Here is a 16,295-nt window from a genome sequence, read left to right as displayed (position 1 = left end):
AAAGACTGAGTGTCCACCTGGCATTAATTCCTTTTGCCTAAAGAACTTCCTTTGTGTTTCTAGCCAGGCGCTGTGGCCCATGCCTGTAATCCCAGCACTTTGTGAGGCCAAGGTGGGCGGATCACGATGTCAAGAGATCTGAGACCATCCTAGCCAACATGGTGAAACCCCGTCTGTACTAAAAATACAAATGTTAGCTGGACGTGGTGGCTCACACCTGTGGTCCCAGCTATTCAGGAGGCTGAGGCAGGAGAATCGCTTCAACCCAGGGGCCGGAGGTTGCAATGAGCTGAGATTGCACCACTGCACTCCAGCCTGGCAATAGAGCAAGACTCTGTCTCAAAAAAAAAAAAAAAAAAAAAAAAAAGAATTTCCCTTGTGTTTCTTGTACTGTAGGTCTGCTAATAAAAATTATTTTCATTTACCTGAAAATCTTTATTTTGCCCTCATCCTCAAATGTTTTTTTTTGCATTTAGTTGACTTTTTTCCTCCTTTCACCATTTTAGAAATGTCATTCCACTGTCTCCTTGTGTCCATTGTTTCTGATAAGAAATTATTGTTATTTCATATCATTCTACATTATGGAATATGTTAATCTGTGGTTAATCTGTGGTTGTTTTCAAGAGATTCTCTTTAACCATGGTTTGAGAAGTTTGATTCTAATGTGCATACATGTGGTTTTCTTTGTATTTTTCCTGCTTGGGCTTCACTGGGTTTGTTATAGTTATATCTGTAAATGTATGCCTTTCACCAAACTTGGGAAATATTTTCCAATTATTTTCTCAAATATTTTTGCTCTCTCTCCTCTTTTGAGACTACAACTACACATATGCTAGACCTTTCCACATTGTTTCCACAGATCACTGAGACTCTACTTTTTTCTAATCTTTTCTCTTGTTTTTTTTAGGTTAGCTACTTTCTATTGCTCTATCTTCAAATTTATTGACTTTCTCATTTTAATCTACTGTTAAAGTTATCTTGCAAATTTTAAATACAGGTTTTAAAAAATTTTTTGGATTTTCATTTGTTTCTCTTTTGTAGTTTTGATTCCTCTGCTAAAATTTTCTCTCCTTTCATTCATTGTGAGCATGTTTTTCTCTAAATCCTTGGAATGGTTATAATAGTTGTTTTAAAATCCCTATGTGCTAATTCCAACCTCTGGGTCATCGCAGTGTCAGTCTTCACTTATTTGCCTTTTGTCTTGAGATCACATTTCTCTGTTTCTTCATAAATCTAGTAATTGTGGATCACATGAATATTATGAATGATGTGTTGTAGGGACACTGGAATCTGTTATGTCCCTTTGAGGAATTTGTTTTCTTTGTTTTTGTTTTTAAGCAGGCAATTAATTTAACTTTAATTCAAACTCCAATCCTGTTTTTTGTGGAGTGGAGCAGCTGAAAACTCAATTCAGTTATTTTAGACTCATAAGGCCTATTTGGAGTTATCCCTGTGCATATGTAGTACAGGGGTCAGCCAGAGATTTTATCCATGTTCATATATAGAATCCCCCTTGCCCCGCCCCACCCATGGCTTTTACCTTTTGTGGGTTTCCCCCTCAATCTCCAGCTGCCATGGCCTCCAAAATCTGTCCTGTGGTTCTCCAAGCCAATAAGACTGGATTTCTACTGGAGTTTTACCCACCAAGAAAGCTGCAACTAGGGCCTACCCTCCAGCAAAATGTTGTATCAAAACAGGAAAACTACATGGCCATTTCCTTCTTTCAAGTATAAGTTTACCTCCAATTTCTTTCATGTCTTCTAGAGTGCCTTTAGATTAATCCAATTATATTTTATATTTTGTATGGAGCTTATTTTTGTTACCTGAGAGTGGGTTGACCCGATAGAAATTACTTCTCCATTTCATTTTAGAAACTTATTTGCATTAAGTTTTTATTCACCAAGAAATCAGTGCTTATTAGTTTTCACAGTACCTCTATGTAATAGTTCCCTGGTGCTTATGATAAGTAGATTTTTCTCTATTCTACCACTGTAAAATATTTATTCATTCATTCACTCATTCTCCATATATTTTTTGAGGATCTGCTATGTTCTAGGCATAGGATAAAAGTGAGTAAGATATGGTATTTGCCCTCACCGAGCTCAAAATCAAGTGCTACACTGTGCATTACGGTAGTTGCTAGCCATGTGTAGCTATTTTAAAATTATTTTTACATTAAGCAAAAATAAACAAAATTAAGAAGTTAGTTCCTGTGTTGACAGACAGGTATTACGTTAATACCACTAGCCACATTTCAAATGCTCAATATATAGCCACATGTAGCTATTGACTACCATAGTAGACAGCACATATATAGAACATTTCTATCATCCCAAAAGTTCAGATGTACTGTGTTAGTGTAGGAGAAGAGAGAAATATGAAAATTTATCACTAAAATATAGTATGATAACAAAAAAGAGTTATATACAAGGTATGGCAGCTGAACAGAGGTGATACTATTTAACTGATATTACAAAGATCCAAAGGGGAGATAATATGTAAGCTGAATTTTTAATGATTAGAAAGATTTGATCAGTCATCCTAGGAAATATAAACAACATGTCAATAAGCATTGAAGACTTAAATCAGATTACAAAACTATTTTTTAAAAGCCCTGACTCTCATATTTCTATTTTAGGCATCTGAATAAATGGTAATATTCACTGTTTGGGGATCATAAATGGAGCACATTTAAGAGAAAAGTGATAAGTTTGCATGAGGCCATTTTGAATTTGGCATGCCTGTTGGACACTTAAAGAAGCTGGATGTATAGTTCTTGAGACTGGAGAAAGGTGGTTTGAGTTGGCAATGCAGATTTGATGGCATAATATATTTTAGGTGGTTGTTAAATTTGATAGCATGTTTGAGATGTGCTAGAGGATGTAGAGTAAGAAACAAAAGGAACTAGCACATCGTGATGATTTCATATATGTCAGACATTCTGTTAGGCACTTTACATGTATTTGGGAAGAAATGCAATTACAATTGTATTTTGGTATGAGAGACCTGGATTTGAATTCTTGCTATACTACTTTACTGTGTGTGACCTTGAGCAATACACTTAATTTCTCTAAACTCCAGTTTTCTCATCATTCAAAAAGGGTAATAATAAGGCCTACCTCATTTGGTTGTGTGAGAATTAAATACAAAATTTGGAGTGTCTAGCATATGGTAAGTCCCCAATACATATAATTCACTCTATTTTTATTATTAATATTATTATTATTAATGACATATTATTTAGCCTTCATAACAACCTTATGAAGTAGCTTTATTGTCTTCCTTTAGCTGAAAGTATTATGACTTGACTAAGGTTTCAAGTTGGCAGCTGGATGATCCAGAGACAGAATCCAGTTTTAAATTAATTGAAATTTAAAATTTCTCTCCAGGGCTCTTTTTATAAAACTGCTCTGTGGTAGTTTCTTACAGACATTTGAAACAAGTATTTGATGAAATTATATATATAAGAATATAATATTCTTCGTTATTGTTATTTAAAGAAAAACAGAACATCTCCAGACACGACTCCAAAACAACTGTGTAATCATATTTCAGTACATGTAACCTCTCTCTTTGCCAAGATAGTTAGTGCTATAAAAGTAATACCTGTCAACAGATTTGATTACCCTCTGCTTTTAGACAACTGAAAATAATAATCTTAGATGTCAGAATATCAACCAAGAACTACAAAAATGTTCTTCTCCATTAAGTTTTGGACAGATAACCTATACTTACTTTGAAATATCTTGCTAAGACTGAAGTCTTAATATATAAATATAGTGGAAATAATTTGTGCCACCCACCAATTTCAAAGGCTAGTTGATAAGTGATTAGAGCAGCTTTATGTCTCTGTAAAGAGTTATAGGAACCTAATGATTTATTAGCATTTCAACTGCTGCCTTCTTTTTCCTTTCATGCTCTGACAATTCTTGTCGTAACACCCTTGGCTGGTGATTTAGTAGAATCTCCCTTAGCTGATGATTTAGTAGTAAGCAGATCTTAGATTTAAAATTACACAGCTCCCCTATTTAAAGCTGCAGGGTATTTGTTCCAATGGAACTTTACTTATGTAGCAAACATTCATTGGTACCTTGTTGTATACCAGATACTGTCCAAAAGTAGAGACCCCAAACTGAAAAGGCATAGTCCCTTTCTTTAATGAGTTAATATTCTAGTGAACACAGTGGACTTCTCTAAAGAATGGATGACTCTACAGAGAAATCATTGCAATAAGTTTTGTAATAAAGAGATGTTAAAGTTGCATGGGGAGCTTATCCAAAGCAGTCTTCAAACAAGAGGTTAAATTTGTAATATTATAAGTATGTAAATTTGTAATATTATAAGTATGTAAGTATGTAATATTATAATTATGTAAATTTTTAAAGGCCATTAAATTGAACACTTACGATTTATGCACTTCAGTTATGTAAATTTTATCTTTAAAAATATGAAGAGATATTGAACGATAGCAGGTTTGCTTTTCACAAGGGTATGGGCTGGCAATTCAGAAACATTCTCTGTATTCTAGACTTAATAAAATGCATTTATTATAGTAATATTTTATAATTTAATATACACAATATATGTATAATATATATAACATATCTATGATAATAAGAGGATGAGAGTCAGGTTTCCCACTGTTGAGAAGGGAAATGCATGTGGACATGGGTAAAAGGAAATGTACTCTGTAATGTTTGATTGCAATTGGAAATATCCGTGTAAACTTATGGTTTTTCATAGTAAAACTTTAATCTTAATTTTTATTTTTTTAACTTTGGTTTTAGGTTTGGGGTACATGTGCAGGTTTTTATATAGGTAAATTTCATGTCAGGGGGGTTAGGTGTACAGATTATTTCACCACCCAGGTAATAAGCATAGTACCTGATAGTTTTTTTATCCTCACGCTTCTCCCTCCCTCCACCCTCAAGGAGGCCCCAATGTCTGTTGTTCCCTTCTTTGTGTTCATATGTACTCAATGTTCGGCTCCCACTTAAAAGTGAGAATATGCAGTATCTGTTTTCTGATCTTGTGTTAGCTTATGTAGGATAATGGCCTCCAGCTCCATCCATATTGCTGTAAAGGACATGTTCTTGTTGTTTTTTTGTGTCTGTGTAGTATTTCATGGTGTATATGTATCATATTTTCTTTATCCAGTCTACTGTTGATGGGCATTTAGGTTGATTCCATGTCTTTGCTATTGTGAATAGTGCTGCAGTGAACATACATGTGCATGTGTCTTTATGGTATAATCATTTATATTCCTTTGGGTATATGCCTAATAATGGGATTACTGAGTTGAATGGTAGTTCTGCTTTGAGTTATTTGAGAAATTGCCAAACTGCTTTCCATAATGGCTGAACTAATTTACCTTCCCACCAGCAGTGTATAAACATTCCCTTTTCTCCATAACTTCATCAGCATCGGTTATTTTTTTACTTTTTATTAATAGCCATTCTGACTGGTGTGAGATGGCATCTCATCCTGGTTTTGATTTACCTTTCTGTAATGACTAGTTATGTTGAACATTTTTTCATATGCTTGTTGACTACATGTGTATCTTCTGAGAGTGTCTATTCTGTCCTTTGCCCACTTTTTAATGGGATTTGTTTTTTGCTTGTTGATTTGTTTAAGTTCCTTACAGATTCTGGATATTAGACCTTTGTTGTATGCATAGTTTACAAATACTTTCTCCCACTCTGTAGGTTGTCTGTTTGCTCTGTTGATAGTTTCTTTTGCTGTGCAGAAGCTCTTTAGTTTAATTTGGTCCCATGTGTCCATTTTTTATTTTGTCACACTTGCTTTTGGTGTCTTTGTCATGAAATCTTTGCCAGGTTCTATGTCCACCATGGTAGTTGCTAGATTATCTTCCAGGGTTTTTATGGTTTGGGGTTTTACATTTAAGTCTTTAATCCATCTTGAGTTAATTTTTATATATGGTGTAAGGAAGGAGTCCAGTTTCAATCTTCTGCATATGGCTAGCCAGTTATCCCAGCACCATTTGTTGAATAGGGAGTTATTTCTCCATTGTTTTTGTCAACTTTATCAAAGATCAGATGGTTGTTGGTCTGTAGCATTATTTCTGGACTCTCAATTCTGTTGTGTTCGTCTGTGTGTCTGTTTTTGTACCAGTACCATGCTGTTTTGGTTACTGTAGCCTTGTAGTATAGTTTGAAGTCAGGTAACTTGATGCCTCCAGCTTTGTTCTTTTTGCTTAGGATTGCCATGGCTATTCGAGCTCTTTTTTGGTTCCATATGAAATTTAAAATAGTTGTTTCTAGTTCTGTGAAGAATATCATTGGTAATTTGATAAAAATAGCATTGAATCTATAAATTGCTTTGGGCAGTATAGCCATTTTAACAATATTGATTCTTCCTATCCGTGATTATGGAATGTTTTTCCATTTGTTTGTATCATTTCTGATTTCTTAGAGCAGTGCTTTGTAGTTCTAATTGTAGAAATCTTTCACCTCCCTGGCTAACTGTATTGCTAGGCATTTTACTTTACTTTTTTGTGGCTACTGTGAATAGAACTGTGTTTTTTATTTGGCTTTCAGCTTGGATATTATCGGTGTATAGGAAAACTGGAAAGAAAACATAACATCTACCATAACAAGAAAGCTCCAGATAAACAGTACAATTATAACACTTTTTTCCATCAGAGAACAAAGGTTGCAGCACAACCAAGAAGACTGAAATTTAAAGAAAGGCCCTTATTAGGATGCAAGCACTGTCATACCTGAGTCAAAGCATGAGATGAAGAGATGTTAGATGCCATACAAACAGAATAAAAAAGAAAAAAACTGATCAGATGAAATATTTGAAAAAATAAAAATAATGGAAAACATCAAAATACATATCCAAGAAATGCATGGGACCCCTTGCAGCATATGTAAGGAAAAAAATCTAACTAGACAAATAAAATTCAAACTGCTGGAAACCAAGAGTCAAAAGAAAATCTTGAGGGCAACCCAAATAAGAATTATAGTAGATGTCTCATTAGAATTTATGCAACCCAGAAGACAAGAGTGACATCTTTAAAGCATTGAAAGAAAAAAAAACTAGCATCTCAGAATTCTATATTTTTTATCCATTGCTTGAATCAGCAAGAATTCTATATCTTTTAAAATAAAGTCAAATAAATATTGTTTTGAACAAACGAAAGATGAAAGAATTAACATCAGCAGATCTGTGCAAGATGAAAAATTAAATAAGTACTTTAGCAGGAGGAATAAGATCCTAGAAACTTAGTTGTACACAAAGAAATGAAGATTACAGAAATGCTGAAAAGGAAGGTAAATATCAAAGACATTTTTAAGTTGATAATTGCCCTGAAAGATAATGGAATGACTAAAGCAAAAGTAGTAGCCATGTAGTGTATGCTGGTAGAATATTTACTTCTAAAACTTATGAAAATTTTAGCACAAAGGATGGGAAAGAGGACTTGGGAGTATAGAGTTGTGAGGGTGAGATCCTTAAACTACATGTGAAACACAATAGTTTCAAGGTAGATTGTGACTAATTAAAGGTATATATTAGCAGACCTATGGCAACCATTAAAAAGTTATAAAAGATATGTTTTTTTGTTTGTTTTTATTTTTGAGACAGAGTCTTGCTCTGTCACCGGGCTGGAGTGCAGTGGCGCAGTCTCAGCTCACTGCAAGCTCCGCCTCCCGGGTTCAAGTGATTCTCCTGCTTCAGCCTCCCGAGTAGCTGGGACTACAGGCGCCCACCACCATGCCCGGCTAATTTTTGTATTTTTGTATTTTTAGTAGAGACGGGGTTTCACCATGTTAGCCAGAATGGTCTCGATCTCCTGACCTCATGATCCACCCGCCTCGGCCTCCCAAAATGCTGGGATTACAGGCATGAGCCACCGTGCCCGGCCCCCAAAATACATGTTTTTTAAAAAACGATAGTGAGTGTAAAATGGAATCATAAAAATACTCCATTAATTCAGAACAGAAGGAAAAAGAGGGAAAAAAGGAACAAAGACTAAATAGAATACATATAAAACAAATAGCAAGATGGCAGATTTAAATCTAACCAATGTCAATAATTACATTAAATTTCCCATTAAAATGCAGAAAGTATCAGATTGATTTTTGAAAAGCAAGACCAATACTTACCTGGTAAATGAGATTCCATGACCATGAACGTGGTTTACCCAGTGCAAGGCTTGTCCATTGCACGTTGGATGTGCTGACCCCTGTCATTTCCCCACATGTGGAAAACCTGACTATGGAATTTGTGCTGGTTGGAAACTTTGTAACTGCTTTTCCCTGAAATAAAAAATAAAAAGAGCATAGTACTCTTACATGCTGTCTACAAAACAAACCCATTGTACCTATAAAGGCAAAATATGCTAAAAGTGATAAAGAAGGACCTTAAATAATAATAAAGGAGTAAGTTTAAAACAAGATATAAGAAGAGGTAAAAAGCATAAATGTGTGTGCAATTAACAACAGACCTTCAAAATACATGAAGCAAAAACTGCTAGAGCTAAAAGAAGTAGACAAATTAATCATTAAGACATTTATACTCCTCTTTCAGTAATCAAGAAGACAAGTAAAGGGAAAATCAGTAAGGATATAGAAGGCAAGAACAATATTATTAACTGATTTGACCTAATCAAAGTTTATAGAACATCCAACCCAATAACAGTGGAATATACATTATTTTCAAGTGCACACGGAGCATTCACCAAAGAAAGACCATATTCCCGGCCATAAAACAAACCTCAATAAATTTAAATAGAATTATATGCAAAGTATCTTCTGTGATTTAAACTAGGAATTAAACTAGAAATCTATAACAGAAAGATATCTGAAAAAATTCCCAAGGATTTGGAATTTAAGCTACACAATTTTCAACAACAAGTGAGTCATAGAAAAGATAAAAATAGAAATTGGGGCTGGGTGCAGTGGCTCATGCCTGTAATCCCAGCACTTTGCGAGGCTTATGGCGGGCAGATCACCTGAGGTCAGGAGTTCAAGACCAGCCTGGCCAACATGGTGAAACCCCGTCTCTACTAAAATACAAAAATTAGCCGGCTGTGGTGGCACATGCCTATAATCCCAGCTACTCGGGAGGCTGAAGCAGGAGAATCATTTGAACCACTTGAACCCCAGAGGCGGAGATTGCAGTGGGCCAAGATTGTGCCATTGCACTCCAGCCTGAGCGACAAAGCGAGACTTCATCTCAAAAAAAAAAAAAAGGGGGAAATATTTTAAATTTAATTTAAATGAAAAGCAACATATTAATATTTGTGAGATGCGGCTAAAACAGTGTTGAGAAGGAAATCTATAGCATTAGACAACTATATTGGAAAAGAAAAAAACTGTCATTTCAAAAACTTCAATTTCTACCTTAAATAAAACTCATAGTAAGTAAAAGAAAGGAAATAATAAACATAGGAAGAGAAATCAATAAAATAGAAAATGGAAAAACCATAGAGAAAATCAATGAAAACGAAGCTGTTTGTTTTTTTGAGAACAACAAAAAAGATAAACTTTTAGCCAGAGTGATTAGAATAAAAAGAGGAGACACAAATTGCAAACAAATATCAGAAATAAAAGAAGAACGTCATTACTGACCCCAAAGACATTAAAAGGATAATCAGCAGGTATTACAAACAACTTTATGCAAATGCATTCAATAACTTAGATGAAATAGACATGTTTCCTTTCTAAGTATACCAACACATGCTGAAATAGATATATTTCTTAGAAGGGTCAAATTATCAAGTTTTCTTCAAGAAGAAATAGATAATCTAGACCTGTATCTAGTAAATAAATTGAATTTGTAATACAAATCATTTTATGAATAAAACTCCAGGTCCAAATGCATCACCTATGAATTCTACCCAATTAAGGAAGAAATAATACAAATTCTACACAAACTCTTCCAGAAAATAGAAGAGAAGGAAATATTTATCTGTCCTTTATCAAGCTAGCTTTATTCTAATAACAAATTAGGTAAACATAAGAAAAAAGAGATACATATCCCTCATGAACATCATAATTCTAAAAAACATTTTTTTTTTTCTGAGATGGAGTCTCATTCTGTCTCCCAGGCTGGAGTGCAGTGGCGTGATCTCGGCTCACTGCAACCTCCATCTCCCAGGTTCAAGCGTTTCTCCTGCCTCAGCCTCCTGAGTAGCTGGGATTACAGGCATGCACCACCACACCCGACTAATTTTTGTACTTTTAGTAGAGATGAGGTTTTGCCATGTTGGTCAGGCTGGTCTTAAACTCCCGACCTCAGGTGATCCACCCACTTCGGCCTCCCAAAGTGCTGGGATTACAGGCATGAGCCACCGTGCCAGGCCATCAGTTCTAAAAAACTTAAAAAAAAAAATCATCCTTTAGTATGTGAAACAGATAATATATGATGTCCAAGGGCGGTTTATCCTAGGAATAGAAGGTTGTTTCAACTTTAGAAAAATCAATCCATGTAATTCAAGCAGACTAAAGAGAAAACATATATGATTATCTCAATAGCTGATAAAAAAGCATTTGGCAAAATTTAATATTCATGCATGATTTTAAAAAGATAAAATGCTCAGCATTCTAAGAATAGAAGGAAATTTTCACAATTAGATATAGTGTGTCTACAGCAAACCTAAAGCTATCATACTTAATAGTCACATATTGAAAACTTTCTTCCTAAAATTAAAAAAAAAAGCAAGATATCTCCCCTTACCACTCCTAACCAGTATTGTACTAGAGCTCTTAGCTAGTGAAATAAGGCAAGAAAAAGAAATAAAATGACATACAGATTGGGAAGAAAAAAATAAAACTGCCTCTACTTGCAAATGACATTGACTATACAGAAAAATCCCATAGGATCTGTAAGAAATGTTATAAAAATTTTAATTTGGTTTAGCAAAATTTCAGGATAGAGGTCAATATACAAAAATCAATTACATTTCTATATACTGGCAATGAGTAATTAGAAAATGAAATTTTAAAACCAGTATCATCTACAATAGCATCAAAAGCTGAAATATATAGCTATAAATCCAATAAAATATGTGCAAAATCTCTATGTTGAAAACTAAACAACACTGACATAAAAAACGAAAGAATATCTGATGCTGTGAATTTGGTCACCTGGTTCCAATTCCATGTCTTCCTCTTTACTTACTATGTAAATTTGAGCAGTTTCTTTAGTTACATTGTATTCCTCTTGCTCATTTGTAAAATTAGACTGATAGTAATAACTACATAATGAGGTAATGTTACAATATGTGTCTAATAGAGCACCTGGCATATCATGAATGCTCAATAAATGTTATCTCTCTTTATTTTTATTAAAATGACAGTGTGTATAAAGTCAGTATTTTACTGATTTTGCCCAATGTTGTTTCCACAAGGGTGGTTCTTTTAAAATAAATCATATATGTCATGCTTTTGCATATGTGGCAGTCATGAAAATGCACCATGTTGGTCTGCTGCTTCAGAAGCATAACTGACTTATGGCCCAACTGCTGTCCTTTGTGACGCACCACCACCTTTATGCTAAATCCATGCTTCCTGCCAGCTCCCCCGAGCCAATGACTCAGTGCAAATGCCTGAGTTTCCCTGGCAGAAGCTAGAGGAAAGCATAAAGAGGTGAGATGTGCTAGAATGGATATATTATGTGAAACCTGGACACTAACCAGAGGAGTATGTCCCACAGGAAGGCCCATTCACCAAAACATCAGGCCTCATCTATGTTCAGTGGTTGCTGTCACAGAGCTAGGTAATTAATATTCATGAGGATAGTAAGGCCTCAGAATGAGAGACCAAGTGGCCAAGCTTAACCACTAGAAACCCAGAGTCCACAGTTACTGTAACGACCGGGAAGATCAGAGGCATCAAAGGGGCTTGACCTTCAAGGAGGTGGAGGGATGGATACTGGAGCATGGCATTCCCACAGGCAAAATAGATAAGGGCAAACAAGGCTGACGCTTAACATCTACAACGAGAAAAGGCAAGAAAGGAGGGGCAAGAGGCTGACAGCAATTGCCCCAGTAAAAAGTCAGGATACTTTCCTCAATTCTAGGAACTGAGCCAATTTTCAGGTCCAAAATCCATTGACTAAAAAGACAGCCAGGTCCCTAAGAATAAGTACCCTGCAACACTGCAACAAGTTTATATCGAGATGACTTGTCCCATCCTTCCCTAAAGGGACCCACGACCATTTGCTTAGGTGACTGTATGCCAGGGAAAGGGAAGGTCTAGACTATTGCACACAAGTTCCGAGTTGACCTTGACACCCGGACCCCTTGTTGAAGTGGGGCCTTATAAGAATCAAGTAATGAATGGAGTCCTAGCTGGGTCTGGCACAGAGTGGGCCCACAGAACCTGTAGACTCACCCAGGAAGCATTTCTCCATTTCCATGTATCACTGGAATGAATGTACTTGGCAGTTGGAGTAAACCCTATATTTGTTCCTTGGTCAGTGAGGAAGTGCTATCATAGTGGGAGAGGCCAAATGGAAACTCCGAAACTGTCCCCCAGGCAAGATGGTAAATACAAAATAGGGATTGGTCGTCTCTATCATATCTCTTTTTAATTGCTAGTCTCCCCCAGCAGGAAGTGGATGGACTCTGAAGAATGACAACAGATGAGTACAGTTTCAATCACATGGTGGTCGACTGCGGCTGCTGTGCCAGAGGTGGGATCACAGCTGGAGCACATTAAACAGGCCGCAGGCCCGTGGCATGTGGTTGTCTATTTGGTGAATGTGCCTTTTCTATCCATATTAGAAAAAAAGATCAGGAACAATTCACATTCACGTGGACAGACTCCAATATTCATTTATTGCTTTGCCTCAGAGCTATCTTAACTCAGCTGCCCTTTGCCATAATAGTCTGAAATAATCTAGATCACCTGAACCCACGGAACATCAAACCCATCCACTGCATCAATGACATCATGTTCATTGGCCAGAAGAAGCAAGAGGTGGCTAGTATGCTGGAGGTCTTGGTAAAACACTCATGCTCCAGAGAGGAAAAGATGAATGAGGATTTAAGGAATCCAGTGGTTAGGTTCATGCTGGAATATTCCCTCCAAAGCAAACGATAAATTGCTGCATCTTATATCTCATACCTCAAAAAAGAAGTGCCTGGTAGGCCTCTTTGGGTTCTGAAGGCAACTCATGCCACACTTAAGACTGCAGTTCCAGGCCAGGCGTGGTGGCTCACGCCTGTAATCCCAGCACTTTGGGAGGCCGAGGCGGGCGGATCACGAGGTCAGGAGATTGAGACCATCCTGGCTAACACGGAGAAACCCCATCTCTACTAAAAATACAAAAAAAAATTAGCCAGGCGCGGTGGCAGGCGCCTGTAATCCCAGCTACTCAGGAGGCTGAGGCAGGAGAATGGTGTGAACCCGGGAGGCGGAGCTTGCAGTGAGCCAAGATAGCGCCACTGCAGTCCCGCCTGGGCGAAAGAGCCAGACTCCGTCTCAAAAAAACAAAAAGACTGCAGTTCCAGCTCACAAATTGGGCAACATGATTATTGGCAGCTTTGAGTTGTGCCTGAAGCACAAAAAGGCTAGAGATGCAGGTCTGTCACCTGTGAAAGGGGAGGGAGAAGGAGGGTTAGTTAGGAAGAGTCTCAAACTGCAGTGCTGTCCTGCAAAAGTCTCAGCCAGCCCAACAGAGAGCTCCAGAGCAAAGGCTGCCTGTTGGAGAAGTTCCATGATGAACAGAAAGGGCCAGGCCCTGGCACGCCCACTGTGCTCATTAGCTGTTAAAGGTCTGCCTAGGAAAAGCATGGCCTCAGCTCAACTGCTGTGGCTAAGCAACCAGAGGCACTGCAACCAAGGCCATCACCTAACTGCACCCTCACAGCTAATCTACAAGTTCTTTCTTGAAGGGAGATCATAATAGCTCCATATCCCCATATTGGAGAGAATTCTCACTCTGCATTCTGCCAAGGAGCTGGTGTGTGTGTGCGTTTGTGTGTGTGTGTGTGTGTGTATGCACACATGTGACAAAGGTTTATTTAACTTATCAATGAATGAAGAAGGAGAAGAAAAATTACTATATATAGTCAATGAACAAAAAGAATGCTGGAATAAGACTGCAAGTGAAGTTGAAACTGGTAAATTATAAAACAACACAACTATAATCTGTAGGATTTATATTTCCTACTGGACAGAAATGAATTGCAACATAATGATCCTCCACAAGTTAACATTAACTTTACAAGAGTCTCACCTTCATCAATAGCAAATAATCAAAGTAACTTTCTTCCTGTAAAACTTCCCAACTGGGGGAACATTTGCCCTCTCCTCACCCCAGAGATATCTGACAATGTCTGGAGACATTTGTGGCTATCGCAACTAAAGGGATGAAGGTGTGCTACTGGTGTCTGGTGGGCAGGGGCCAGGGATACTGCTAAATGACCTATTACGCCCTGAACAGCCCCCACGGCAAAGAATTACCCAGACCAAAATTTCAATAGCGCCAAGACTGAGAATCGTGTACAGATGACACTTTTGACAGCTTATTAGGCAATGCTCTAGTATGACACCGAAAGGGCGTAAGAAGATCTTTAATGTTTCCTTCTGCTTTCACTTAAATGTAAAATTGGGATAATGATATATCGAAGCAACTTCATTTACGGTGAAGGATGATTAAATAAAACAATTGTGGTTGATTGTATTTTTACAAAGATGATGCACAAATATATATCCCATCCCACATGCTCTTCTTCTGACGTGACACTGACATTCCTGTATTGAGGGGTGGAGGCTATGTTCCCTTCCCTTGAACCTGGGTAGACGTTTGCAATTACCTCTATCAACAGAACACAGCAGAAGTGACATTTCCTGACCTCTGAGGCTGGATCATAAAAAGCAACACGGCTTCCTCCTGGCTCTCTTTCTGGGGACACCACCTTGGATGTTCTGAGCCAACATGAAACAAGTCTGGCTATGCTTGAGAAACCCTAAAGAGGGACTACATAGAGACAGAGAGAAGCTCCCACCCCAGCCTGTCCAGTCTTATCAGCTCAGACACCAGACACGGGAGCGAATGAGGCTTTACAATAACCCCAAGTACTGTCTGATTGCGATCTCATGTGAAAGAAGCCTCCAGGCAGAACCACCCGACAGAGCTCCTTCTGAATTCCTGGCCCATAGACACCGTGGGAGATAATAAATGATTTTGTTGTCTTAAGCTTCTATATTTTAAGATGATTTGTTCCATAGCAACAGACACTAAAACAACCATACAAAAATAGTCCTTAGCACCCTGCATGGAAAGTGAGTTAACTGGTCACTCTTGTGGGGTAGTTTTAGTATTTTTAAGTAATATTTATGTAGTATTTTTACTGTTTCCGTGCGCAAGAGGGCACACTGTCCGTTGACAGCCCTCATACATGGAGGTGTAATTTTCTAATCAAAGCACCAGGTGGAGCCAACCCCTAATTTTTCACTGTCCCTTTCAGAGGGTGAACTTGACAAAATGGAAAAAAGGCTTCAGAATCAAACTAGCATGTTTAGGGCGATGTGTTAGAGAATGCTCAGTATTCTAAATTCTCAAATTCTAAAACACAAGGAAGCTTATTTTGATGAATAACTCATCCCTAGGCAGGGTGTACGCACAAAAAACAAGAAAATCCTTTTTTTTCCTTTGTTAAATGCAACAGAGAAGGTTATGCTTTCTTTAAACCCTGAAAAGGAAAAGAGATCTGCCAGCCTATGATTTCTAAACAATACTGTACTTAATTTTTGCCATTATCTAGACACATAGCTAATGCAAGTCTCTGTTTGCTGTTTGCTTCTGACAGTAAGACAATATTTCTGAATACTGATTTATGGGACTCAGATAACATCTGTACCACAATTTTAGCTTAAACATTTTTAGGTTTACATGTTTTCTAGTCCTTTATTTTGTATACACGAATTTAATGCTCTAGTGGCTGTGAAAATGGGCCATGATTCCGATTGCAGGAAATCTGGGAACCAAATCCCTTAAAATGAATTGGGTGAACCAAATACATTGTATCTCCCTCTTGTCAGAGAAATTCAAAGCAGACTCTACCCATCAGCATTCACTGTAACCTGAGCAGGTTGGCAACCCGTCCTTATTATGATGATCTGCCAGTGCCTATGTAACTCCTGAAGGCTGATGCCTCTACCCTGAGATGGCTCAAGGATGGTTAGGGCAATAGAGCAGTGGTCTTGAGAATAAAGATGGTTTTGTGATCCGCTTATCTGATTAGAGGTTTATACTATAAAGTCAAGGCTTCATAGCCTGGTAGGGGATAAATCAAATGTCAGAAAGGATGGAGGCAG

The 16,295-nt window shown here is 37.4% G+C and overlaps 1 long non-coding RNA gene and 1 pseudogene across 1 annotated transcript in view; one reads left to right on the top strand and one right to left on the bottom strand.

The window, feature by feature from the left end:
- The window catches only part of LOC105374928 (uncharacterized), a 106,762-nt gene that overhangs the window by 12,332 nt on the left and 78,135 nt on the right, over positions 1 to 16,295 (bottom strand). The window contains exon 4 of the long non-coding RNA NR_187824.1: positions 8,130 to 8,282. This is a non-coding gene — a long non-coding RNA (uncharacterized LOC105374928). The remainder of the gene's footprint in view (positions 1 to 8,129; positions 8,283 to 16,295) is intronic.
- RNU1-64P (RNA, U1 small nuclear 64, pseudogene) lies at positions 8,122 to 8,284 on the top strand (annotated as a pseudogene).

Source organism: Homo sapiens, chromosome 6, assembly GCF_000001405.40.
Source record: "Homo sapiens chromosome 6, GRCh38.p14 Primary Assembly".
Taxonomy (NCBI): Eukaryota; Metazoa; Chordata; class Mammalia; order Primates; family Hominidae; genus Homo; species Homo sapiens.
The sequence above is the reverse complement of the archived record's forward strand: the minus strand, read 5'-3'. Positions and strand labels throughout refer to the sequence as shown.